Source organism: Homo sapiens, chromosome 7 (genome assembly GCF_000001405.40).
Source record: "Homo sapiens chromosome 7, GRCh38.p14 Primary Assembly".
In the NCBI taxonomy this organism is placed as follows: Eukaryota; Metazoa; Chordata; class Mammalia; order Primates; family Hominidae; genus Homo; species Homo sapiens.
This window is the reverse complement of record NC_000007.14, coordinates 70,145,690-70,172,089: the sequence shown is the minus strand read 5'-3', so window position 1 is coordinate 70,172,089 and position 26,400 is coordinate 70,145,690. Positions and strand designations below refer to the sequence as shown.

General features: G+C 37.2%; 1 protein-coding gene across 26 annotated transcripts in view, besides 1 other annotated feature; it reads right to left on the bottom strand.

Annotated features, from left to right (window-relative positions):
• AUTS2 (activator of transcription and developmental regulator AUTS2) overlaps nt 1–26,400 on the bottom strand; it is a 1,195,032-nt gene that overhangs the window by 621,417 nt on the left and 547,215 nt on the right. The gene's annotated exons all lie outside the window — the stretch shown is intronic.
• Nucleotides 20,664–21,165: an enhancer, noted in NCBI's record as "NANOG hESC enhancer chr7:69615911-69616412 (GRCh37/hg19 assembly coordinates)". NCBI's record gives its function as "activates a minimal SCP1, AML or CMV promoter by ChIP-STARR-seq in primed H9 embryonic stem cells {active_cell/tissue: H9 hESC(primed)}" and the evidence as "EXISTENCE:reporter gene assay evidence [ECO:0000049][PMID:30033119]".

The window sequence follows — 26,400 nt, the reverse complement described above, 5'->3', positions numbered from 1 at the left end:
AGTGAGGGAAGCTTGGTGAGGAGGAAAGAAAGGGTTTCCATCACAAAGCAACAGCAATGGAGAGAAACTCAGGGCAGATGGGAAATCTGCAATCATCTGACCCCAGAAATGCAGAAAGAAATGTAGTCCTTCGTCTTAAAAAGCTCTGACCAAGAAAAGAAGGAGGGAAAAACTACCCCCCCCCAAAAAAAAAAACTTGTTTATAATAAAGACTACATTCTGTAGCAATTTCCCAGATTCCTGGGGTTAGAAATCTAGATTGCCAATGGATAAGTGAGCCTTAAAATCACATCCCTGCTGACAAAAATTCATTTCTTATAACCGTCTCCATTTACCGGAATGCTGAATCTTTCCCATGGGGAAGGAACAAATGAAAATGTTATTTCTCTGCTCATGAACTCATACCTTTCTGTCTGCTTTTCACTGTTGGCAATTTCATTCTCCTCCAAATTTGACTAAAGCCCGTGACCTGAGGGAAATAATGTCTATATAATAATCTTCTGAAACTCTAATTCTGAGTCATGTTTTTTTTGGATGTTGCCTCGCAGTTTATGAAAATTGCACTGAGCTATGAAATGTAAGTGATGTGATGTCTCTGCCTAACATAATCATTTTGCTGGTGAACATGTTGCAAATACTAATGAAAAGGAGGCTCCCACAAAAGCCATGAAAGCTGGTTAATGGCAACAATCTAGCAGCAGTGGCTCCCATCTTCCTCACATACCTCTCAGAATAGAACTGCGAAGGGTAAAGGACAGGTGGGCAAACACAGTCAGAAAAAGGGGAAGAATTCGCTTCCACTGTGACCCCTTCCTTGTTCCCCTTGCCTGAAATCTTATCAACGTCTGTGAGTTTGGGAAAATGGCATGCAATCCAACAGTTTGGGAACAATAGAGTACTAACTTTCCATTTTAAAGAATTTTCAATTTTGAAATAGGCTCAGTTATCTGTTTTAAGTCAGTTTAGCCATACAGTGTAATCAATGAGGATTTCTCCATGAGACATACAAATAACTACAGAACCTGGCAGTAGACCCAAGAAGGCTGAAATTTCCGTCTATCATTCAGTGAATTTACCACAATGAAAGGGACTAAAGACTATGTTTTTACTTTTCCCCCAGTCATTTAGATCTATTCAACGTGCAAGCAAGGGAATTAAATAGAGTTATAAAGGCAATGTGCCCCGGCCGGGGGCGGTGGCTCACACCTGTAATCCCAGCACTCTAGGAGGCCGAGGAAGGTGGATCACGAGGTCAGGAGTTCAAGACCAGCCTGGCCAAAATGGTGAAACCCTGTCTCTACTAAAAATACAAAAATTAGCCACGCGTGGTGGCAGGCACCTGTAATCTCAGCTACTCGGCAAGGTGAGGTAGGAGAATCGCTTGAACCCGGGAGGTGGAGGTTGCAGTGAGGTTGCAGTGAGCTGAGATCGCACCACCGCACTCCAGCCTGGGGGACAAGAGCAAGACTTCATCTCAAAAAAAAAAAAAAAAAAGATAACGTGTCCCTAGTATATCCCATCTCAAAGAGCTTGGACCTTTTAACCTAAATGTCTGTGATCTATAATGCTTGTTCATTTACCTTTACTACCAAAATAGAAATGGAAATAATATAAAACTTTAAAACTTATTAATATATTTAGGCTAGGCGCAGTGGCTGTAATCCCTGTAATCCCACCAGGAAGGCCAAGGCAGGCGGATTGCTTGAGCTCAGGAGTTCAAGACCAGCCTTGACAACACGGTGAAGCCCCAACACTACAAAAATACAAAAATTAGCGGTGGTATATGCCTGTAGACCCAGCTACTTGGGAGGCTGAGGTGGGAGGATCGCTTGAGCCCAGGAGGTAGAGATTGCAGTGAGCTGAGATCATGCCACTGCACTCCAGCCTGGGCGAAGAAGTAAGACCCTGTCTCAAAAAAAAAAAAAAAAAATACTTGCATTTAGCTATCAAATTGCCTTTTGAGAGACAGTGGATCAAAGATTTTGTGAGTTTTTTTTTTTAATAAAAAAAAACCTCTATTATTTGAAATTCCCTCCCCTCTCCTGATTCCCAGCAAATGAATGTTTTTAATAGTTTCCAATTTTCAGCAAGTATTACTGCAATTGTATTTGGATCTTGAGGCTATTTAGGGAATGATGCAATGTTACAAAATTAAGCAGCAAATAAAGTTTTGTAAGGAACCCACACCACACATATGTGGCATCACTATCTAGAATTTGCCAACCCCCATTTTACCAGTAATACTAACAGGAAATAATTAGCAAGCATTATGATCAAATACAAAATCATACCCCGTAATGTTTCTCGTGAAGACAATTTTATATGTTGAATTGGTAGATATTTAAATGAGTTTGAGGCATTAGTAAATCACTTCTGGTTCTCACTGAATATATTTCATGAAACCTCTGCATTCTACAGCCATATGGCACTCATAATTTTAAAAAATCAAATTAATAGTATTCATGACCATGAAGTCTTCCCAAGGCTAAGAAAAGGAATAGTGCTTTAGGTGCTAATATCATGGTCACAATTGTTTTTAAGAATTAATAGGCCGTATGCGGTGGCTCATGCCTGTAATCCCAGCACTTTGGGAGGTAGACGCAGGCAGATCATGAGGTCGGGAGATCAAAAGCGTCCTGGCTAACACAGTGAAACCCCGTCTCTACTAAAAATACAAAAAAATTAGCTAGGTGTGGTGACACGTGTCTGTAGCCGCAGCTACTCGGGAGGCTGAGGCAAGAGAATGGCGTGAACTCAGGAAGCAGAGCTTGCAGTGAGCCAAGATCGCGACACTGCACTTCAGCCTGGGTGACACAGTGAGATGCCGTCTCAAAAAAAATATATATATATTAATAATCATTTGACATAAGCTCTGTAGCATCTCTCCAAAAATAACGCATTTGAAATACTTAATCCAGAAATATTATTTTTTCCTTAAATAAAACAACTCTTATTTCAACAAATTTTAAAAATCATCAAAATAAACCCTAAGCCCTGAGCCTGTTTTCTATCCATCTCATGTAACTAATCTAAATCTGCCAAGGACATCTAAACACATTTGAAAAATGGAAATATTTTATTGGGATTATTAAAATCTCCAACAGCTTACCAGGACTGCAAACCAATTTTTTTTTCTTCTGTTAGAGAATACCTAGCATTCTGGGTTACCTAACAATAAAGAGGAAATGATGACCTAATATTTAGGGCAAAAATATTATGGCCACACAAGTGACTGGTACAAATCATGTATTTCCAGGAGTAAAAATAAAAAGTCCTCTCACCAGCACACAGAGAACTTTATATTCTTCATTATTAAAGAGTCATATTAAAACTAATATTAATTTCTAAACACCAAGACTTTTAAAGACTCTAATTTTCAATACATATCGAGAATTCATACTCTTACTGCTATTTTATTACATAATGTTCTTCAAAAACATCTAGACAAATTCTGCTTCTTTAAAAGCAGAGCAGGCCAGGTGCACTGGCTCACACCTGTAATTCCAGCACTTAGGGAAGCCAAGGCGGGCAGGTCACCTCAGGTTCAGGAGTACAAGACCAACCCAGTCAACATGGTGAAACCCTGTCTCTACTAAAAATACAAAAATTAGCCAGGTGTGGTGGCAGCGCCTGTAGTCCCAGCTACTCGGGAGGCTGAGGCAGGAGAATCTCTTGAACCTGGGAGGCAGAGATTGCAGTGAGCCAAGATCACGCCACTGCATTCCAGCCTGGGCGTCTGCCCTAATGCTTCCTACCCAGGCAGCTGAAAATATTGGGAGAGTTTAGAAACCACCGTGAGGAAAGGCATCTTGCTCAGAGAGCCTGCATAAATGTTTGTAGACAGACTGATGGTCACAGATCTGAAGAACCAATTCACATCTGAAGATCAACGAGTTCAATTACAAAATACTCAGGAGTACCACTGGAGTGTAAAGCTAACTAAATTCATGGATATTCTGTAACTTCCTTAATAATGTATCAGAAAGCTTCAAGTGTATTTTTTCAGCCTGATTAGTTGTCAAGTTCAAGGAATTTAATTTTATCCAAAGAAATCACATTCCCCAAACAAGTCTTGTGACTTAGTACGTCCTTATGCCAAATGTACTTCAAATATATTGTGCACTACATTAATATAAATTCCGAGAGAATGTCACTGTCATCAATTATATACACATGTGCAGTCTAGACTGTACTTCTGTATATTTTTTAAATGCCTAGAAAAAAGAGGCATGTAAACTGTAAAAATCAAATTAGATTTGAGACTTACTCTTTGATATGGGTTATTTAAAAGTATGTTATCGAATTTCCAAAAATTTGAGGACATTCCGGGTATCCTTCTGTTACTGAGTTCTAGTTTAAGTCTGTTGTGGTCAGTGAACATAATTTGCATCATTTCAATGCTTTTACACTTATTGAAATTTACTTAATAGCTCAAAATATGTCTACAATGAGTATGGCATGTGCATTTGGACAAAAAACTGTATTTTGCTGTTGAAGGGCACATTCTATAAATGTTGATTGAGTCAAGGTGACCGGTAGTGTTGCTCAAGTTTTTGGTGTCCTTCCTAATCTGTGTTAACTTGTTCTATCAATGTGAGGGATGAGCAATGAAATCTCAAACTTTATTAGTAGATTTGTCTATTCTTCCTATAATTCTATTAGTTTTTGCTTTATGTATTCTGAAGCTCTGTTATTGTGTACATAGGCCTTTTTCTTGATGAATTCTTGTTTTCTTGATGGACTGATCCCTTTATCACTATATTGTGTGTGATACCATGCTTTATACTTGGTAATATTGTGAAGTCTACTGTATTGATATTAACAAAACCACTTCTGTTTTTGTTTTGTTTTGTTTGTTTGTTTTTGTTGAGAGTCTCCCTCTGTCATCCAGGCTGGAGTGCAGTGGTGCAATCATGGCTCACTGCAACCTCTACCTCCCAGGTTCAAGTGATTCCCCTGCCTCAGCCTCCAGAGTAGCTGGGATTACAGGCATGAGCCACCACACCTGGCTAATTTTTATACTTTCAGCAGAGACAGGGTTTCACCATGTTGGCCAGGCTGGTCTCAAACACCTGAACTCAAGTGATCCAGCCGACTTCTAAAGTGCTCAGATTATAAGCATAAGCCCAGACCACTCCAGTTTTCTTTTGATTAGGGTTTGCATGACATACTGTTTTCCATCCTCTTTGCTTTAAAATAGTCATGGCTCTGTATTTAAAATGGGTTTTTTGCAGGCAGCACAAAATTGGGTTTTACTTTCTATCCAATTTTATAATCTCTGCTTTTTAACTGACCAATTATATTTAGTGTAATTATTGCTAAGGATGATATGGTATCTATGTACTATTATACTTTAAAAAAAGTCATCTGTTCTTTTGTTCCCTTTTTTTCTTAATTTTTTTGCCTTCTTTTGTATTAGCTGAGCATTTTTATGATTTCATTTTATTGGCTTGTTAATTATATCTTGTACTTTATCTTTTTCCCCAATGGCTGCTCTAAAATTCACAATATACGTTCTTAACTTATCATAGTCTACTTTGAAATGTTATTATACTATTTCATGTATTGTACAGAAACCTTACAACAGTATATTTCCATTTAAACCTTACAACAGTATATTTCCATTTCCTCCCTCCCATCCTTTAAGGTATTATTGCCAAAATTTTATTTTAACATGTTATAAACCCCATAATATAGAATTATTATTTTTGCTTTAAACCAGCACCAGATAGTAAATAATTTAGACTTTGCAAGCCATATATGCTCTTTGTTGCATATGCATTAATTATTCTATATTTAAAAAAATTTTTTACAACCCTTAAAATAAATTATTTGCTCATGGGCTGCACAAAACAAGCCTGATGTTAGATTTGACTCATATTGGTCCATTCTCACACTGCTATAAAAAACTACCTGAGACTGGGTAATTTACAAAGAAAAGAGGTTTAATCGACTCATGGTTCCACAGCCTTAACAGAAATTATGACTGAGAGGCCTCAGGAAACTTATAATCATGGCAGAAGGTGAAGGGGAAACAAGCACGTCTTACCATAGGGGAGCAGGAGAGAGCAAGCAAGCAGGAATTGTCACACACTTTTAAACCACCAGATCTCATGAGAACTCACTCGCTATCATGAGAACAGCAGTGGGGAACTGCCCCCATGATCCAATCACCTCCCACCAGGCCCTTCCTCCAACACGTGGGGATTACAATTTGAAATGAGATTTGGGTGGAGACACAGAGTCAAACCATACCAGGCTCATTGTCAACCCATACTCTAATCTCATTTCAAAAGATTAGAAGAAAAAATGTCTTGTCTGTTTATTCATATTTTTATATTTCTGGTGTCCATCATTCCTTTGTGTAGAACAAAATGTTCTTTCTATAGAGCAGCGTACTCCTGCTATCTGAAGAGTTTTCCTACTGTCTGAAGAGCTTCCTGTAAGCTCTTCAGATAGACCTGTTCTGCTAGCAAAACTTCTCTTGCTTCATCTGACGAAGACTTAATTTACTTTCCGTTTTGCAATATATTTTTCCTGGATACAGAATTCTAGGTTGAGGGTATTTGTTCTTTCAGTTTTTTAAAGATGTCACTCCAACTCTTTTCACTAACATAATTTCTGACATAAAATGTACTGAGCTTTTATCTATTATACCTCTGCATGAATATTTATTTTTTTCTCTGTCTTCAAGACTTCTTTATCTTTGATTTTCAGCAGTCTGACTTCAGTGTACGTAGGTATGCTTTTCTTCATATTTATTCTGAGTCTGTGGTTGGCTATCTTTCATTTTGGAAAATTCTCAGCCATTATCTCTTCTAGCGTTTCTTCTAGCCTATTTTCTCTCTCTTGAAGTATGTTAGGCGGTCAGGAAATTTTCTATGGCAATGCTCCATTTTTTATTTCCACTCTTTTTGCTCTATTTCAGTTGAAAGGCTTTATTAGCCTATCCTCAAGGTCACTTATTCTTTCCTCTATCGTATCAAGTCTGTTGATAAACCCACAGAAAATTTTTTCATATATGATATTGTGTTTTTCATTTCTAGCATTTTTTTCTGACTCTTACAGATTCCATCACTCTACTAAAATTCCACATCACGATTTATGTATATTGTCCACCTTTTCCATTAAACCTTTTAATACAGTAATCATAGTTATTTCAAGGTCCCTGTCTGAAGTTTGCATGTCAGATTTTGTTGACTATTTTACATCTTGAACAGTCACCTTTTTTTTTTATCTTACGTGAGTGTGTCTATGTCATAATTTTTTTAATTGAACCCAAACTTTATGTATAAAAGAAACTCAGGTAAATAATATTTCTACCTGGAAATGGGTAACTACTTCTTTCAAGCTGTTAGCATGGGGGGACTGAATAAATCTACTCAGTAGTTGAATTGTGTCTGTATTTTACTGTTGCTATAACTAGTGTTGATGCACCACAGGATAAAAATTCCTCCTCTGATAGACTGCTGTGACATAGTCTTTTGTGAGTCTAGAAGATTCAAAACAGAGGCCAACTGAGGGTCTAATCATGAGAAAAACATCAAAAAAATTTTTTAATCCAACCAATCGAAGAACATTCTCTAAAATACCTGACCAGTACTCCTTAAAACTATCATCAAAAAGAAAAACTATCTGAGAAACTGTCACAGTCTTACAGGCACCTGAGGAGATATAATGACTAAACATACAACATAGTATCCTACTTTAGATAGGATACTACAACAGAAAAAGATCAGTAAAGTATAAACTAAGAAAATTTGAATAAAGTATGTACTTCATTTAATAATAATGTAGCAATATTGGTTTACTACTTATAACAATTACATCTTATAACAATTACATCTACTTATAACAACTACATCTTACAAGTGTAAGATGTAACAACAGGGAAAACTAGATTGATTTTATACGAGAATTCTACCTGCATAACTTTGTAATCTAAATCTATATAGAAATGAAAGTTTATTTTATTTTTTGCTGTCAAAAAGGTTTTCTCAGTGTTCAGGATCCACCCTAAACTTACAGTAGGACCTAAGTAGGACCTGCACATAAGCATTGCAGGGTGTCTGCGTTTCTTCCCATGCTCTTGCCACTCCTCTAGCAGTAGACTGCAAGCCTGTTACTGTTTCTTTGTTATGGTTGAAGGCTCTTGGAGGGGGGAAGGAGAATTTCTCAGTTCTCCTGCTCCAAGCACAGTCTTAGCCTAGCCCTGCACATCTGGGACTCAAGTACATGACTTTCTTAGCATTTCTTCCTCCACCCCAATGACATGTAATCTCTGCTTCCTACTCAGTTCAGGGTATGAAATACAATCAGTTTTCTTCCCCACATCCCTCCCACGGGGAAGCCAAGTTTTGCCTTGTATTGGTGGAATATCTTGGGCATGAGAAAGTTTCCTGTTCCTCTACCAGAGGTAGAGGATCAGTGCATTAGTGCAGAATCATGGGCAAAATGATCTCTCTCAACTGCAAACGACGTTTGCCCCATTTCTTTGCAAAGCAGGGGGAGATTCATAGTCCTTCCCCCACAGCAGCTAATCTTTGTTAGGACTAGAATGGCAAACAGGTTTCTTGCCTCTCTCCCAGTAGCATATGGCTTTTGCATTGTATCTGAGAAGTGTCTGGGGAATGGGCATGACAGAGCGAAATCTAAATTTCAAATTTCTGGTTCAGTATCAATTGCTAAAGATATCTAAAGATCTCTCCCTCTCCTTCTCCCTCCCCCTCTGCCCCCCCCCCCCCCACCACCACAACCTAACACTCATCTTTGGTATGAATGTGCCTAGCATCAGTTTGGAACATTCTACTGGCTTAGTTTCTACATGCTAGACTTACTCGTATGAACTCTCTGAGCTCTGGGAACATCTCGTCCTGGGTGTTTAAACATATGAACTATGCTGTCCCATTCCAGCCTCAGTTAACTTATCTAAACCAAACCTCATAGCTGGCAGCCATGAGGTGGCTGCACACCACTCCTCTCTATTGACCCTCTCCCAAACCTGATCCTGCCTAGCCAGCCCTCCCTGTCACAAGAAAGGCAAAGTCATCTCTTTTAAAAAAAGCAAACCTCTTCCTGGTCCTCTCCCCACCTAGTATAACATTTTGCGGTAATTACAAACCAAATAAACACAGCCGTTATAAGTCGTTCAATTCAGTATCATGAAATTATTTCTTAGCTTCCAATTTATTTATCGTTCTATCAATATATATGCATGGAAAGAATATAAAAGAGCATATAGAGAGCATTTTCAAAGAGGTTTACCAAATGTTAACGCTGGTTATTTCTGTGAAAAGGGTAAGATTTGCACTGATGTGCTCACATTTTCTTCGTACATTTTTCTACCACGTAAATATTTTATAATAATGGGGCATCATTTTTATAAAAATATGTTTTCGTTTAATAATACAATTAAAGACAGTAATCAGATTGGGAATCTCTTGGCTCTGATTTATAGTAGCAGTCTTAGGTGGTTTGAGAAAATTAAAGAGTTAACACAGTGGAAGAAGACTCTCAAAGACATTGACTGCACAAGAACCAAGAAGGGGAACAACATAGAATTTTAAACTTCATGATCAGTTGCACAAACTAAAGGTTCTCCTTTACTTCTTTTTTTTTTTTTTTTTTTTTTTTTTTTTTTTTTTGAGACGGAGTCTCGCTCTGTCGCCCAGGCTGGAGTGCAGTGGCGGGATCTCGGCTCACTGCAAGCTCCGCCTCCCGGGTTCATGCCATTCTCCTGCCTCAGCCTCCCAAGTAGCTGGGACTACAGGCGCCCGCCACTACGCCCGGCTAATTTTTTGTATTTTTAGTAGAGACGGGGTTTCACCGTTTTAGCCGGGATGGTCTCGATCTCCTGACCTCGTGATCCGCCCGCCTCGGCCTCCCAAAGTGCTGGGATTACAGGCGTGAGCCACCGCGCCCGGCCTCTCCTTTATTTCTTAAATCTATCCAGAATAGGAAATTCTACACTGTTGATTTTTTTTAATTAAAAATTGTCCTCTTAAAAATATTGTCCTCAATTTTATATTTTTTATCTGATCTTGGAATAAAGCTGATTTCATCAGAGGCCGTTAATCCTTCACTCAAAAACCAAAAAATGAATAATCATTCTCCTAGTAATCCTATCAAGGAGTATGCCAGTAACTATTGTACATAAATGTATTTAGGAAACCCCCTTCAATAACTCCAACAGTATTTTTCTTTGACAGGAAATACTGCCCCTGTAATTCCTTTTAGAAAAGTTTGTAAAAAATTACACCACGAGGCCACTGGATGTCACTGCAGGTTTATGGAGTGTTACCCACTGGGGCTTAAGCTGGGCTATAAATAAAGGGATTCTTAAAGTACTCCAAAGGGGCTGGGAAGTAAGTTGTCAGCCTCTAAGGATATATGAGTATAGCACTGATGCACTGGTGGTACAAAATATGCCAATGATAAGACCTTTCTACAAATTTGTGACCTAAACAGCTGAAGAAAAGGTGGGGAACAAATAATCTAAGGTTAACCGATCTAGTTGCCAAGTGTAAGAATAAAAGGCCATAAACCTAATCTTGCCAATCAAAGAAAATGAGAAATTTGAATGTAAGCAGGCATTAAAAAGTCAAGGTTGGTGACCTGTTCCTCCAAAAGCGACTTAAAAAACAAAAACAAAAAGCTTTCATCAAGGATAAGCTGGGATCACCCTAAGAAACTGGTGTAAAAGAAAGAACATCCCATTTAGAGACCAGTGTCGCATATTTAACATAGAATAAAGATTGCATCACCTACTATCTCATAAGCCTTAGAATTTTCAGTGAAAAAAAAAAACTAGCAAGAAAAATTGGGGGAAAGATTCATTAAACAAGCACAGCAAATTAAATAGGAAATGTCAGATGTCCCCACAGGGGAAGTCAGATGCTTGATTTTACTCCTGTTTCCTTTATAACCTCTCTAAATCCCCAAAGAAGTTACTTTTAAAAAACTCAAAAACAGGACTTTGTCTTCAAGGGTAAAAAAAGGAGAGAGAGAGATAGATTTAAAGCAAAATAACTGCCTAATTCCCACGGAAATAGAACTCCATGGGATTAGTTTCAGCATCATTATATCAGGAACGCACAAGTTCTGTTTCCATATTGATTAATTCCAGCCGAGTTGAAATTTGCATGCAATTTACAATCATTCCCTTCCACAAATGTCTTCATTTAGTAGTATTTTGAGCCTGGCATGACAAGATTATTGCAAATCACAGCTCCATCAAAGAAGAATCTGCTAAAAAATCACAATTTCATTGGAAATGCTGCAAAAAGCAATGATTGGTTTAGGAAGAATAAACACAGTTTTATGTAGCTAGTATATTATTCTTCAATTCACCAGTGTCAGATATTGATGAAGGCCCTTTCACAAATGTCTTCATGTTAGTGAATGGAAGCACAGTGTCTGACACTCACAGCCATGAGTAGAAAAGACAACAATAACAAGATGCATTTTGGGTGATAACTGTCAGAAAGCTTACACTTGTGTGAAAAGAAAGAACTCTTTGTTAAGACCATCTTTTCTGAGCATCAAATTTAGTCACTGTGCCACCTAACAAGCCATCACAGACATCTATGAGACTAACTTTGGCTAAATGGGGAATTGTTTAATGAGTTAGAAGTTATTCTTCCAATGGGCCTTCAAGTAGGTGAAATCTGACATCAAAGTCCTCAAGTCAAGAATTCACACATCTAGAATTAAAGTGAGCAGAAAGATTTACGTTGGAGGAAGATCTAGCATCATTCACTAAAGCAAGAAGGTGATCAAAATCCTAGCTGTCTTTCTTTATATGGTAAGCTACCTTTCTCAGGTATTTCAGCAGCTACATCATGGTCTTTCTATTAGTTGAAATATATTTGGTCATCCAACTCATTACTATAACATACTCTATTAAGTTATTAAATCCTCTTGTAAAGGTGGGAGTACAGATAATATTTGGGCAAATATCACTTAAATTATGGATGTTGCTAAAAAGTCACATGTAAAAGAATAGTCTTTGATTAATAAATGCAGAAAAGACCAATCTAATTATACCTTTATTAGGTAGAAGCTCTAAAACTAGAAGTAAGAGCTCTAAAACTAGAAATAAGGGATATTCCTAAAGACACCCATTTAAGACTGCAAAACACCAGAAGAGGTAAAACTAAAGGAGAGATCATGCTGACATTATATACCCTTCACCATGATAAAAACAATAAATAAAATCTTGTTATATCTAACTATAATAAGATTCTAAGGTCCTCATCAGATAGATACTCATATTCAGTATTAGTGATGCTTAATGAAGACATAAAAGTATTATCAGGGATACATGGTTTAAAATTTTCACTGTTTGACAATTCATAAACTATTATTTCTGATAAGTAACACAGTCTGTATAGTTAGAAGATTATCTGCTTCTTCCTTGAAAATATGCATAAATTTGGTATTTAAACACCCCCAGCATTGCATGGCATGACATTTTGGGACCAAATATGATGTAACAAAAAGCTGCTCAGTATTTGTAACATTATCAGATATAATCATAACACATCTAAATTCTACTATATTGCATACGTCCTCCTGTGTATGACTCCCTGAATTAAATATCAAAACACAGACCTAAAGAGTTCCATGTGTCATTTTTGCTCTAGAATCCTGAAGTTTCTTTTGAAATTCATCTACTGTTTTAAGCCATTTTGTTTTGATTGACATACAAAATCAGAGAAGTTTAACCACATGTATTTCACACTGCGTTTCACACTGGGGTCTTGCCAACATTTTATGACACCCACAAATAGTGATCTAACAAGTCTCATGAGCTAGCAGAGAGGATAATAATTACTTCAAACACGTGTGAGGGATTCAGCAGGAGAGAAATCATGGCATATTCTAAATGCGCCATATCATAATCATCTAATGCCATATGCCCTTGAAAGAGCCTTTAAAAAATGGAATCTCCCAAGATGTATTCTAACAAAGCTGCGGAATCATCAATGTTCAGAGAGGAGATGATTAAAATAAGATGCAGGTTGATGCTACGGCAAAAGCAATCAAAAGAAAGCAGGGCAATAAATAAAAAAGAAAGCTGTTTATCAAGAGTTTCCTGAAAGTATGCTGTGGTCCAAACAAATATGTAACATGCCTTCACTAATAATAATGACAGCAGATAATGATATACTCATATCATATGTAGATGATTATTTATATATTTATTGCCTTGAGTATATCATAGGTAGATGATTATTTATATATTTATTGCCTTTATTCTGGTCAGCTCTATAGTCCTCCAGCTAAATCACAAAGAAATAAAAATCACACATACTCAACACTTGTCCTAATAACCGCATTTTTTTTTTCCTGAAAGAGTTCTGATCCATGGACTGCATGGATCACGTGCACCAGAGGTCCAGGCTGCTTCTCTGAGCTCCAGACTCAAACTCCCACAGGATCTCTTTCTTTGCTCATCCCATGGACGTCTTAAAAATGAATACACCCAAAATGTAACTCATAGGCGAGTGGCAGGTCTAGGATTCAAATATGTGCTCTTATTCACTCCCCTATACTGCCTCTCTTAGTGAATTGTACCAGCACTCACTTGGTTGAATAAAGCAGATACTTGGTTATCCTTGAGGCCTCTCTATAAATCACTGCCACATTGACTCGTTGACTTTGTCCTGTCAATTTTGTGTTCTAAACATCTCTAGAATTGTCCACCTTCTCTCCCAGTCATCATCATAATTTTTCCTGAAGTTCTTGCCTCCAATCTCATGCTTACACAGCCATCTTCCACAAAACTAACTGAGTGAGCTATCTCTCACACACATCTAATAAATTCTACAACATGAAACCCTTCAGTGGCTCTACATCACTTGCACTATGAAATGAAAACTCTTTAACAAGACTTGTCAAGACCACTTGGGATCTGGCTCCTTCCTATCCTCATTCCTGTAATTTCTAAGCATTCCAACAACATCTCCAGGTCCTCCAAATAACCAGGCCCCACACTTTGGGTCTTTCCAAATGGTGCTTCATGGAATGCAACCTCCTCCCCCGCCATGACCACTACAACTTTACATAAATCAGGTTAACCTCCACTCCCTCTCCAAGAACCAGATCAGGCATTCCCAGTTTGTACAGCAGTACTCATGAAAGAGATAACTGTCACTCACATTGTAATTGTCTGCTCCAAAGTCACCTCTCCTCCCACTCCCATTGTAAGGCCATGAACTTATTAAGGTAGTGGTTCTCAAATGAGGTAGAGCCCCAGCAGGTGGAATTTTCAAAGTCCCCATGGATATTCCAGTTTAAAAATCCAGCCCCTGAGGACAGCAACTATAAAACCCTTCAGTGGCTCTACATCATGTTTGCTATAAAATGCTACCTTTTAAGAAGACTCATCATCATCCAGCTATCTTCAGATCCTGAAGTGCCTGGGTCACTTTAGGATCTAAACAAGGGTGAAGAGAATGAACAACAGAAAAGAGCCAGGTGTGGTGGCTCATGCCTCCTAGCACTTTGGGAGGCCAAGGTGGGAGGATTGCTTGAGCCTAGGAGTTCAACACCAGTCTGGGCAACATAGGGAGAGACCCCCATCTCTTAAAGAAAAAATAAATAAATAAACAAATAAATAAATAATAAAACAATAAAAAATTAGCCAGGCATGGTGGCATGTGCCTGTGGTCCCAACTACTTTGGGAGGCTGAGATAGGAGGATCGCTTAAGCCCAGGTGGTTGAGGCTGCAATGAGCCAAGATTACACCACTGCATTCCAGCCTGGGCAACAGAGCAAGACCTGTCTCATGAACAAAACAAAAAAAGGAGAAAAAGAGAGCATACAAAGAAAAATACCAGAGGTTGAGTATGATAAAACTGATGAAAGCTGATTAAAAAGTGATGAAAAGCTGGAACAGTTTATCAGAAAAGAGAAAATACTAAAAAGTGACAAATTCTTAGAAAATTATAGAAAAATGCAGTCAGACTAAATTAAAATGTCAATTTCACTTGCTTTTTTTTTTGGTAAGACGGAGTCTTGCACTGTGTCACCCGGGCTGGAGTGAAATGGCACAATCTTGGCTCACTGCAACCTCTGCCTCCCAGGTTCAAGCGATTCTCCTGCCTCAGCCTCCCAAGTAGCTGGGACTACAGGTGCCTGCCACCACGCCCAGCTAATTTTTTTTTTTTTTTTTTTTTTTTTTTTTTTTTTTTACTTTTAGTAGAGATGGGGTTTCACTATGTTGGCCAGGCTGGTCTCATACTCCTGACCTCGTGATCCACCTGCCTCGGCTTCCCAAAGTGCTGGGATTATAGGCATGAGCCACCACGCCAGGCCTTGACTTGCTTTTTCACAATGATACAAAGGACTTTTATGAGGTGAGAGTACAAAGCTGAAAAATTGTTCCCTAAGCACAAAAATGACTAAACAAAAATAAAATGAACATAACTGGAAGTGGTGAGGTCTTGTGGAGAGAGAAGGAATCACAAACATTCTCAACTATACAACCACCAGGATAGGTTATGGAACTGTCACCTCCACAGGAGATCTGCTTGCAAACGATGGTTCTAGCTGAGAGTTCACCTAAAGTCCAAAGGATTAACTCGGAAATCTCTTGGGTTGCCTCTGAGCTCAGGAAGATGCAAAAGTGGGGATTTGGGATTATCTACAGTCCTACTTCACAATTTTGTCCTCATATTTGAGCCCAGAGAAAAGCTCTCTTCTATACAGCCATTGCCGCCCCTACAGATTCACTTTCCAATTCCCCAAAACAGGGCATTCTGGGAAAGCAATTGCTTTGGCTGAAATTTGATAGGCACAGGTGGCACCGCCAGCTGCAAGTAACTTAGCTCTTACTGGCATTGCCACATCTCTTGGACTTTGCATATTCTATGTCAACAGAGAGAAGTACAGGGGAAGAGGAGCCAAGAAGAGAAGAAAGTGAGAGTGTGGGAGAAGTAAGGGCATCCTCATGGTGCAGGTTCACTGAGGCTGTCACTTGTGTTCATTCTTTTGTAAACAGGGCTAGATGAAGTTATGGATGGAGACAATCCGGTCAGACACTGGGTCAGCACTACCCACGTGTCAGCAGACAAAACCAACAGGAGAAAAAAACAAAACAAAACAAAACAAAACCAACAGGATCCTTCAGATGTCCTTTCCAAGCCAGAAACTGGTATCACTTCCTGCCTGCCAGATAGTGAGATTCTGGGATTGACATTCTATTCCAGGTGAAAGTGATTCTTCTACACATGAACTCACACGGGCTCCTCTCTTACCTCCAAAGAGGTATAGTGGCCAGTCCTTTTTTCTCTGAGCTCTTGAATACTTGGTTACCCTAGTAGAGTAAACACAGGCTCCAGTTTAGCAAATTCAAGCCCAAGGGAAGGGATATTTGGGGCTCATGCTTTGAAAGTTGAGTATTTGGGGCTCAGGCTTTGAAAAGCTATGAATTATTTATTTTTCTGGTGGTCCCTTCACAGCCTTTGATTTCTAGTAAAGATAAGGATGGCCAGAGACGGATACCGAGAAAGGATTAAAAACAAACGGCACACAGCTATCAGCAGAGGCTTTACTGGCACAAGAGTGCCAGTTTTCTCCTTCTAAATTACAAATTCCCTGATCTCTGAAAAAAAAAAAAAAGTCAAGGGCCCTTCAAGGACTCTGCTACCACCTGTATGTTGAGGCCACAATCAAAGTAAAGACCACATTCAAGAGCCCATGCAGTCAGAAACTTGATTTTAAAAGATTTTCTCTTTCTACCTCTTTAATTACCTCCTGGCCCCAACTTCCTAGGAGCCTTGCACTGTCTCTTGAAAGTAGAATCCTGACTGAGATTCTAGGACATGCCTTATTCCCAGATCGAACCCTCCCCAGAGCTCAGCCCACGGTTTTCCTCACTGTTCTCCCCAAATGATGTATGGGTCTTGCTTGAATGAGACCACTCTAAATGAGCAACATACCACCATAACAGTGCCACCAAAGATGACCACTCTCTAGAAATATTCCTGGGCAAATGTTATTTTGAGGCCCATTCCTATAATGAAACATCCACCTGGGAAGAACAAAACCAGGCTGGCAGCAGAAAGTGTGCTTGCTGTGCTGTCAGCTGCTCATTCACCAAACCTGTAAAGCAGGTCCCAGGGGGGCTCTGACAGCTCCTACAACTAACCCATCAGTCAAACATATGATGCTACAATTTGATCCAAGAAAGCAAGTATCAATTATATCCTTCCAATACTAAAAGGGAAAAAAAAAGCACCCAACCAACCATAGCCAAAGAGATAATAGCAGCGAGTTTCACTCTGAGGCTGATCCAGCTGATCTCCTGGTTACCATGTGCTGCACTCCAGCCTCCAAAGTCACCATGAGTCAAGTGGAGAGCGCTGATCATGGTTCATGCCAGTGGCATTGTTTGTACAACCTACAACCTTCATGTGAGGAAATGTAGTCTGCTCAGTTCAGGACAGGAGGTAGACCAGAAACTGAGCTGAATCCCTGACGAGAAAATAAACTGCTAAATATTGTCATATTAAAGTAGTCTAACAGAAAAAGTTAAGAATTAAAAAAAAACTAACCTTGTTTCCCTGTCTCCTTAAAGGGAGCAGCTTTCAGAAATCACTAGATTCAAGTTTCAATTGTTACCATCTTGAAAATAACAAATATCTATAGATCTCTCTTTATAAAAATGTATCTTTTAAATATACAAAACCCCTCTTTTGCTTATTAGATCTGGTCAACCCCTCACTGAATTCCTTCCACACAAGTCAAAGGAAAAAATTATTTTTCCCTTTTCCTCTCTCATTTTTGCTGGCATACCAACCTTCCAGCCCCCAAAACCTACAGAAATTGCTTGTCTGATGGACACTTTTTTCTTCAGGAAATGACATAGTGACATAGGTAAAAGGTGATTTGGATAGACTGCTGTGTCACAAATTGTCAGGATCTGATTTAGAGACCTTGCTTTTGTCAAGAAAGACAGTTGGATGTCTGCTTTAAAGAAGTACTGGGAATATTTTCATCAAAGGTTTGAATTGAAAAACAGTGGGAGGTAAATATCTGAGATGTTGCCGAGAAAGACTGCTATATCTGTGCAATTACCATTAACAGAGGACAGCAGTGGTTCAATGAAGTAATTCAATCTGGTGGCCTACATTTTATCAGAGAGCAATTTTGAGCTCTGACATAAAAGCCAGCCAAAAAAAGGATTGGGCTCTTTTGTATGCATTTTCTCTCCCGTAATTCTATAAAACAGGACATATTTGCCTTATAAAGCCCAATCATGAATTTTTGAACATTTAACAAAGGACCATGAGATATTTCTCTGATGAAAACATGCATTTTGACATTCTTCAGAGTAAGTTTTGTGTGTAGCTGTCTGAGCTAGAGAGGTATTAAAGTGCAGTAGGCTGGTGTATTTAAAACACAGAAAGATAGGAAAAGAGGCAGACATCTCAGGGTGTTAACAACAGCAGGGAAATAGTTTTTATAATCATTTTAAAACAGCTTTACTGAAGTATAAATGAAATATAATAAACTGCACATATTTAAAGGATAAAATTTGATAAATTTTGACCTATAAATATATCTGTGGAGCCATCCTGACAGTCATGATAATGAACATACCCATCACCTACAAAAGTTTACTCCTGCCCCTTGGTAATGCCTCCCTCCCAATTCTGTGCCTGCCTCTCCAAGCAACCACTGATCTACTTTATGTCACTGTAGATTAAACAGCTTTTTCTAGCATTTTATATAAATTGGAACCATACAATATGTACCTTTTTTGTGTGGCTTCTTTTTTTACTCAGGATAATTATTTTGAGATGAATCCATGTTGTTGCATGTATCAATACATTGTTCCTTTTTAATGCTAAGTAGTATTCTGTTGTATGAATATACCAAATTTTCATTCATTAAGTTGATAATGAACATATGGCCAATTTCCAATTTGGGGCTATTACAAATAAAGCTACTATGAACATTCATGTAAAATATTTGTATGGACATGTGCTTTCTTTTCTCTTGGGTAAAAACCCAGGATTGGAATGGCTAGAATATATTGTACATACATATATAACATTTTAATAAATTATCAAACTGTTCTCTCAATTGGTTGTATCTTTAAAAAGGGGAAAGATTTACATGATCTAAAGAGAAACTAGAGTTTATGGTTGTACATTTTATATTCCCACTAGTGTGTAAAAGAGTTGCAATTCCTCAATATCCTCACCAACACTTGCTGTAGTCAGTCATTTTCATTTTAGCCATTTTAATAGGTGTGTAATAATATATTACTATATACCTATTATGGTTTTAATTTGCTTTTATGTAATAATTAAAGATGTAAAGCATCTTTTCATGTGCTTATTTGCCATTTGTATATTGCCTTTAGTGACACATCAGTTCAAATCTTTTGCTCGTTTTTCAACTAGGCTTTTTGATTTCTTAATGCTGAATATTAAGATCTCTTTATATATTGTGCATAAAAGTCCTTTATCAGATACAAACTTTGCAAAACTGTTCTCCTAGCCTGTGGATTATCATCTCATTCTCTTATCCATGTCTTTTGAAAGTTATATTCACTGGGTATACAATTCTAGGTTGGCAATTTTTTCTTCTAGTACTTTTAAGGATGTTGCTCCAGTGCATTTTTTTTTTCCAGAAAAAAAAAAATCTGCTGTCAGTCTTTGTTCCTCTGCATTTATGTCTTTTTACTATTTCCTGGCTATTTATAAGATTTTCCCTTTCTTATTGGTTTTGAGAAATCTGATTATAATATGTGTTGGTGTAATTTTCTTTATGTTTCTGATGTTCTGCACTATTTTCATCAAATTTGGAAATTACTTTTGTCCTCTCACCCTCCTCTCTCTGGAGACTCCAATTTACATGCATTAGACTGTATGAAGTTTTCACACAGCTCACGGATGCTCTGTTCAATCTGCAAATTCTCTAATCTTTTCATGTTTCATTTTGGCTAGTTTCTGTTGCTATGAATTCAAGTTAACTAATCTTTTCTCCTGCAATGTCTAATCTGCTGTTAATCCCATATAATATATTTTTTATTTCATACCTTGTAGTATTTACATTAGAAGTTCAATTTTGCTCTTATACTACTTAACTGTCTGAACATACGGAATACCACTATAATTTTTAAAATATCATTCTCTGTTAATTCTAACATCTGATTCAGTTCTGATTGACTGATTTCCTCTTCATTATGGGTCTTATTCTCCTGGTTCCTTGAATGTCTGGTAATTCGTAATTGAATGCCATAAAATGGTTTTAGAATTCAGTTAAGTCACTTGAAATAGTTTGACCCTATCAGAACTCACATTTTAAACGTGCTGGGAGGGCAGGGTGTGGTGGCTCACACCTGTAATCCCAGCTCTTTGGGAAGCCAAGGTGGGTAGATCATCTGAGGTCAGGAGTTCAAGACCAGCCGGGCCAACATGGTGAAACCCCATCTCAACTAAAAAAATGACAAAAATTAGCTCTCAGCTACTCAGGAGGCTGAGGCAGGAGAATCGCTTGAACCCAGGAGGCAGAGGTTGCAGTGGGCCACAATAGTACCATTGCACTCCAGCTTGGGCAACAAGAATGAAACTGTCTCAAAAAGATAAAAAATAAAAAGTGTCACGGCAAACTGTAGCACTGCTCAGTCAATGACTGATTATTTCTCAATACTGAGACAAGACCCTACTATGTACTTGACTCTATGCCCCATGAGTCTAGTGGTTTTTCCAATCCTGCTGGTGAGAATCAGCACTGTTCCTGGCTATGGGTTAATGTAAGGCACTGTTGCCTCTAATCCTTCTGGATGGTTCTTTCCCAGGCATCAGGAAGTTTGTTGAAATGCATGAGCTAATTAACTCTCTAATGAATAACGGAAAGCAATCCTCTGAAGATCTCTGGGATCCTTTCTCCGTGCATCACCCCTCCCCCCTAATACTCTGTCCTTTGAATTTTTGCTACCTTGTTCTTCCTGGACTCTCAGTATCTTCTCCTAATGCAGAAAGTCTACTGAGTTCCACTTGGTACTTCTGAATTCCCTCTGCCCTGCATGGAGGCCTGGAATTCTCTCAAGGCAGGAAGCTGGGACACTCAAAGAGATGACTACATTTGTTTACTTTCTTTCAGGGATCACTGTCCTTACTGCCTTATGTCCAGTGTCATGCAAACCATTGTGTCATGTATTTTATCTTTTGTTTTGGTTGTTTCTAATAGAACAATAAATTCAGTCCCTGTTATTCTTTACTGAAAGCCCAACTCTTTTCATGAATATTTTTCTTTAGATTCCTATTATCACCTGGCATATTAGGGATTAATTTGATTAACTATGAGTGTCATGAAAAGAGAAACTTTGTCTTATTTACTGCTGCTATATCCACAGAACCTAAAACAGGCTGACTGGCCTGCTGTCTGTTGAATTTATCAATGAGAATGAAAATGCTAACTACAAAATGTACAGTTAAACACAGAAAAGCTTCTTTAAGAAATGTGCCACACAGTAAGCTTAGATTTCTATCACTTAAAACACTTGAGAAAAAAAAGTTCTAGTCTGTTAGTATTTTCTGATGGTCTATGTGTCTGTTTTGAGCTCAAATAATTAAGAACAGCATGTCTACTGGGAAGAGGAATAGCTCTTTGCAATTTGGACTAGTGAAACTTTTTGTGTTTCTGTATTTACTCTTGACCTATGGCTGAAATTCTAGAATTGGAACTGTATGCTTTCTACACATCTGAGGGTCTACAATTCAAAAGTACCTTTACCTTTCATTGTGTGCACAATATTTTCCTACCTCAGATGGTATTAATAATGAGATTATAAAGTCTCTAAGACTAAAGGAGTTTTGTTCTAATAGCCTTATTCAGTGTAAGTGCTTACATATACTAAATATTCCTAAAATTCACAGAAAAGAATTGAATCTCTAACCATTTAAATGTACTAAATTAAACAATAAATTCTTGCATACATTACCTCGGAAACATTTTATGAACTCAAGTTCACTTAATTTACGTGTAACTTTGCCAAATAAGATTAGTTTAATAAATCTTGGCTTAATAAAAACAGTAAGTCTTCTTTATCAGTTTTAAGTACATGAGTAAACATTTTAACTCTACACTAGATAATTTACCTAAAAATATACTGGTTTCCTGGCCAAATAAGCTAGCATTATTTCTATTTTATGTTTATGTTTGTCTTTATTTTTCTTTGACCAAACTGCATCAATATTCTCAAAAACTTTTCTTCAATAGTAATTATGCTTCTTACTATGTTGGCTTGAGCATAATTTCCAAGATTTTTAAGTAATTTGAAACCTCAGACTGATATTAAATTAATTAACAGATATTCATTGGATAGTTACACCATTTCTAATTAAGATAGAATACTAAAACACTGAGCACTAATCATAATTTAAAATTTCATCGTTTTGCTTTTTATTTTTATAATCTACAGAGAAGACTATCTTTGGGTCAAGTTAATGAATGTGTTCATTGTTGTCAATTTATGAAGGTGCATAAGAGATGTGTGTGGCTATAGAAAGTTGGTTATGTTTATTCATGATCTCCTCTAAAATGCTGATATGGAAAAGGAAGATCGTAACTATCCCCCAGTTTTTTTATGTGAAATAGAAGTTAGTTAATTTGGTTAAAAATTAAAACTAATGCAAGAAGTTGACATCATATCTAGAAGCAACAGTTTCTAAGAAATATAATTATGTGTATGCTGCCATTTTTCAAGGAAAAGAACACCTGTGTCCTAATGCAATGTTTCTGAAGATTTTTGGTCTCCAAACCGCTTACAGTTATCTCCTAAAACTTATTGAGGACCTCAATGAGCTTATTTTGTGTCTATGAGAGTGTGTGTGGGTTTTAACTATTGATATTTACAACATTAAAAATTGGAACTTAAAAAAATTTAAAATGCTGACTTGCTGATTCATTTCAAACTAGCAATAATGAGCATACTGCATGGTAATAACATCTTAGAAATACTATGGAAGTAGTTCTGACCTCATGGAACACCCTATGAATAGTCTTGAAGTAAAGTATTATTTTGTTCCAAAATATGAAAGAACATAATGAGAACAGAACATGGAAAGTGAATTTTATTTACCTTGCTTTGTAATACCTGAGTCTGAAAAGTAATGAAATATGTTAAAATCTTCATAGTTTCTATGAGCTCATTTGCTTAAATAGTTTTGTGTAAAACATTCTTTACTAGCTTTGTTTTACATGCCACAGAAATAATCAAATACGTTACATTATTTTTGTTATAAATTCTCATCATATTTTTCACTTTTAAAAGTTGTAAGTGAAAATTAACCACAGCCATGTAAAGTCTGTCACTTACACCGTTTTTTGTTTTACTTTTATGTTTCCTTGAAAGTTATGCATTCAGTAACACAGTAGAACAGAGTTCTGGTTTTCAAATAAGAAAGACAACCTCAGAGCACCCACAATAAAAAAAAAAAACTGCACCAGGTACTTAAAATAATTAAGACTTCAAAGAATAGACTCTTGGGTACAGGTTTCTGATGTCATTGCTTAAATAACTTTGACCAGACCAGTGGGCTGAGTCAAGATTTCCAGAACTTCTTTCAGTCAAGAAATTCATGAGATGAGTTGATGAGATTAATAAGTCAAGATTCAGTACAGCAAGAATTAATTAAACAGGACTCAATGAAATGATGAAGGATGATTGTTTTGAGTATTGTTGGTCTTATGTCAGTGTTCTATTATCTGAGAATATAAGGAAGCTCTCTTTTTTCTTAAGCTATTTATAACTCATAACAATTCTGATTTTATAAACTGAAATGAAGTGTTTTAAAATGGAATCTTATTCTGACACCCCAGAATCCAAAAACTCTAAGTCTTCTTACTTTTCATAGCAACACAGTTATTTACATGGGTTCAGTAAAAATTGGCCTTCCTATTTACCAAGATGAGTATGAAAAATCTTGAAGATCTTGTCTGGAATGTCCTATTTGTGAGTAATGCTCATTTAATCAGATATGATTAAACACTTACAGGGAATTAAAGGTGACTTTATCTCTATAAAGTACCAATCCTCCCAGAAAAACTAGCCTGGTAGCTGGTTTACAGAATCCAGCCACATAGATGGAAAGAGAGATCACTTCTTGGTAGGGTACTTTGGGATATTTTGGGAACATCAAGAAGAAAGAAATTCACCCAAATTTACAGGTACTGCCGGTGACAGAAAGACCAGTGGGCTGAGTGAAGACTTCTAGAGTGCCATTCAGTGATCATGCTTGATCACTCCTTTCAGTGATCCTTTCCGTGATTCTTGGGTTTGGCTTTCCACCCTTAGGACAGCAAATAATACTTTTAAAAGTGCAATAGGAGATTTATTTTGTAAAAACATCAGAGAAAGCAAAGTTTAAAAGGCTTATATGCTAAATTAACATTCTTGGTACACCCGTGTAAATGATCAGGCCAAATTTAAATAAACAAACCTTCCTTTAAGACTATTTTTCATCAAATAGGAAAACATGTGCTTCAAGGAAACACTAGGCATCGTCTATAGCACACTCTCCAGCATAATTAATTTCTGATTCCATGGAAACTATTTTACAAGTCTGGAAGTTGTAGGTAAGTGATAACAATGCAAAATAAACATTCTCTAACATCATGTAAACTCTGTCATGTGAGGTAGAGACTCAGCTGACTTCCTTGAAGCCAGTTCTGCCTCCATCTACACACTCATTTCAATATTCCTCATCTATAACTGTGGATTTTCTTTTGGTTTACCTTTGAAAAAGTTATAACATCTGCCTACTTCCGTCATTATTAAATAAAATGTTTAAACATGTAGATTGTATAATGTATGAGAGTCATGATTTTACTTTTTTTTTTTTTAAGAGATATTGCCTAGATGGGAGTACAGTGGCTGTTTACAGGCATGATTATAGCACACTCCAACACTGATCTCCTGGGCTCAAATGATCTTCCCAACTCAGCCTCCCAAGCAGCTGGGACTATAAGCATGCACCACTGTGCCTGGCCCAAATGATATTTAAATAACCACATTGTAACAACTTGGTAATGTGTACTGTATCCAAAAATGAGAATAAATAGATGGTTTTGACATCTCTTTTGATAGTCCCTACCTACATATATGTACACATGCATATTTTAAATTTTTTAATAAAATTGTGTCTCTGCTCCAAAATTGCACACTGGCTTTAACCAGGTTCTGAAATTATGAGTGATCTTTGTAACAGGCATAGCTTTCTTCCAAAATAATAAAATTGAGCTGTGTACATAGATAAGTATAGAGCATTCAGTTTTCATGATTTGAAACTAAGCCCTAGGAAGTGGAAGGCTTTCTATGTGACAGCTTAAATGCTTGTAATCAAACTAATTGCCACCACGATGACCTGAAATGAGTTTTAAAGCACTATAATATATGTTTAGCAATCAGTGAAGCAATCCTTTATTATTCAGGCTCATGTTTGCACTTTTATCATGTTATAGGACCAAATGGAGGTAGAGGTTGGAAAACAGAAGATGAGAGAAAAGGAAAAATAAAAATATGTAAGTAATTCCATTGCTTCAAAACAGTAAATGAACCAAGAATAAGCATACTGCTGAAAGATGAAAAATAATAAAATTACTTAATTCAAGTATGTAGTGAAGAGTATGTCACAAACACAAACGTACAGGAGAGAAAACTGTTAATAAGATCCATGTTAATTAAAATAAGTAAAATTATGGTCAATGAAGCTGAAAAAGATAACAAAAATCACACCCAGTAGAAAAATAACACAATGTACACATCACAGCAGGAAAAGAAGTAAAGCAGAATTTTTTTTCCCCACTAAAAGTACTAAAATAATAGATTCTGAACATTGAACGAGGGTCACAAAACTTCAGTATCAACCATTGAGGCTTAGCTTAGGCTGTAAGATGAGAGAATTAGGGAACCCAAACTCTAACCACTCCCCTGTCCAAGGAAGACTGAGAGGCTGTTAGTCACAAAAATCTAAAGAAAATCAAACTTTTATAAGATTTACATAAATCGCTGGCTTTGCATTGATTTTATCCTTGTTTAATAACATTCTGAGATAAATAACAAGTGATTTTAGACTAAAGTGAGTTCACTAAAATAGTGCTTAGGCAGGAAATAATTGGCACCTTGACTTGAAAAAGCAGTCTCTAAACGTGTACCATTCCTTAACTGGAGGTATGACAGTGTTAACAACGTACCCATAGATGTGCTGAAACCAAAAGGCCTCTTCAAAGAGAAGCGTGGTACAACCCTTTGTTTGAAAATTAAAGAAAACAGAATGTAATGACACTCAATGCACAGAAGTAAATGTGACCCAAGCTTTACAAATTTGATGGCTCTACCAATTCAAAATTTGCAGTAATTTCTAAAATGAACTTAT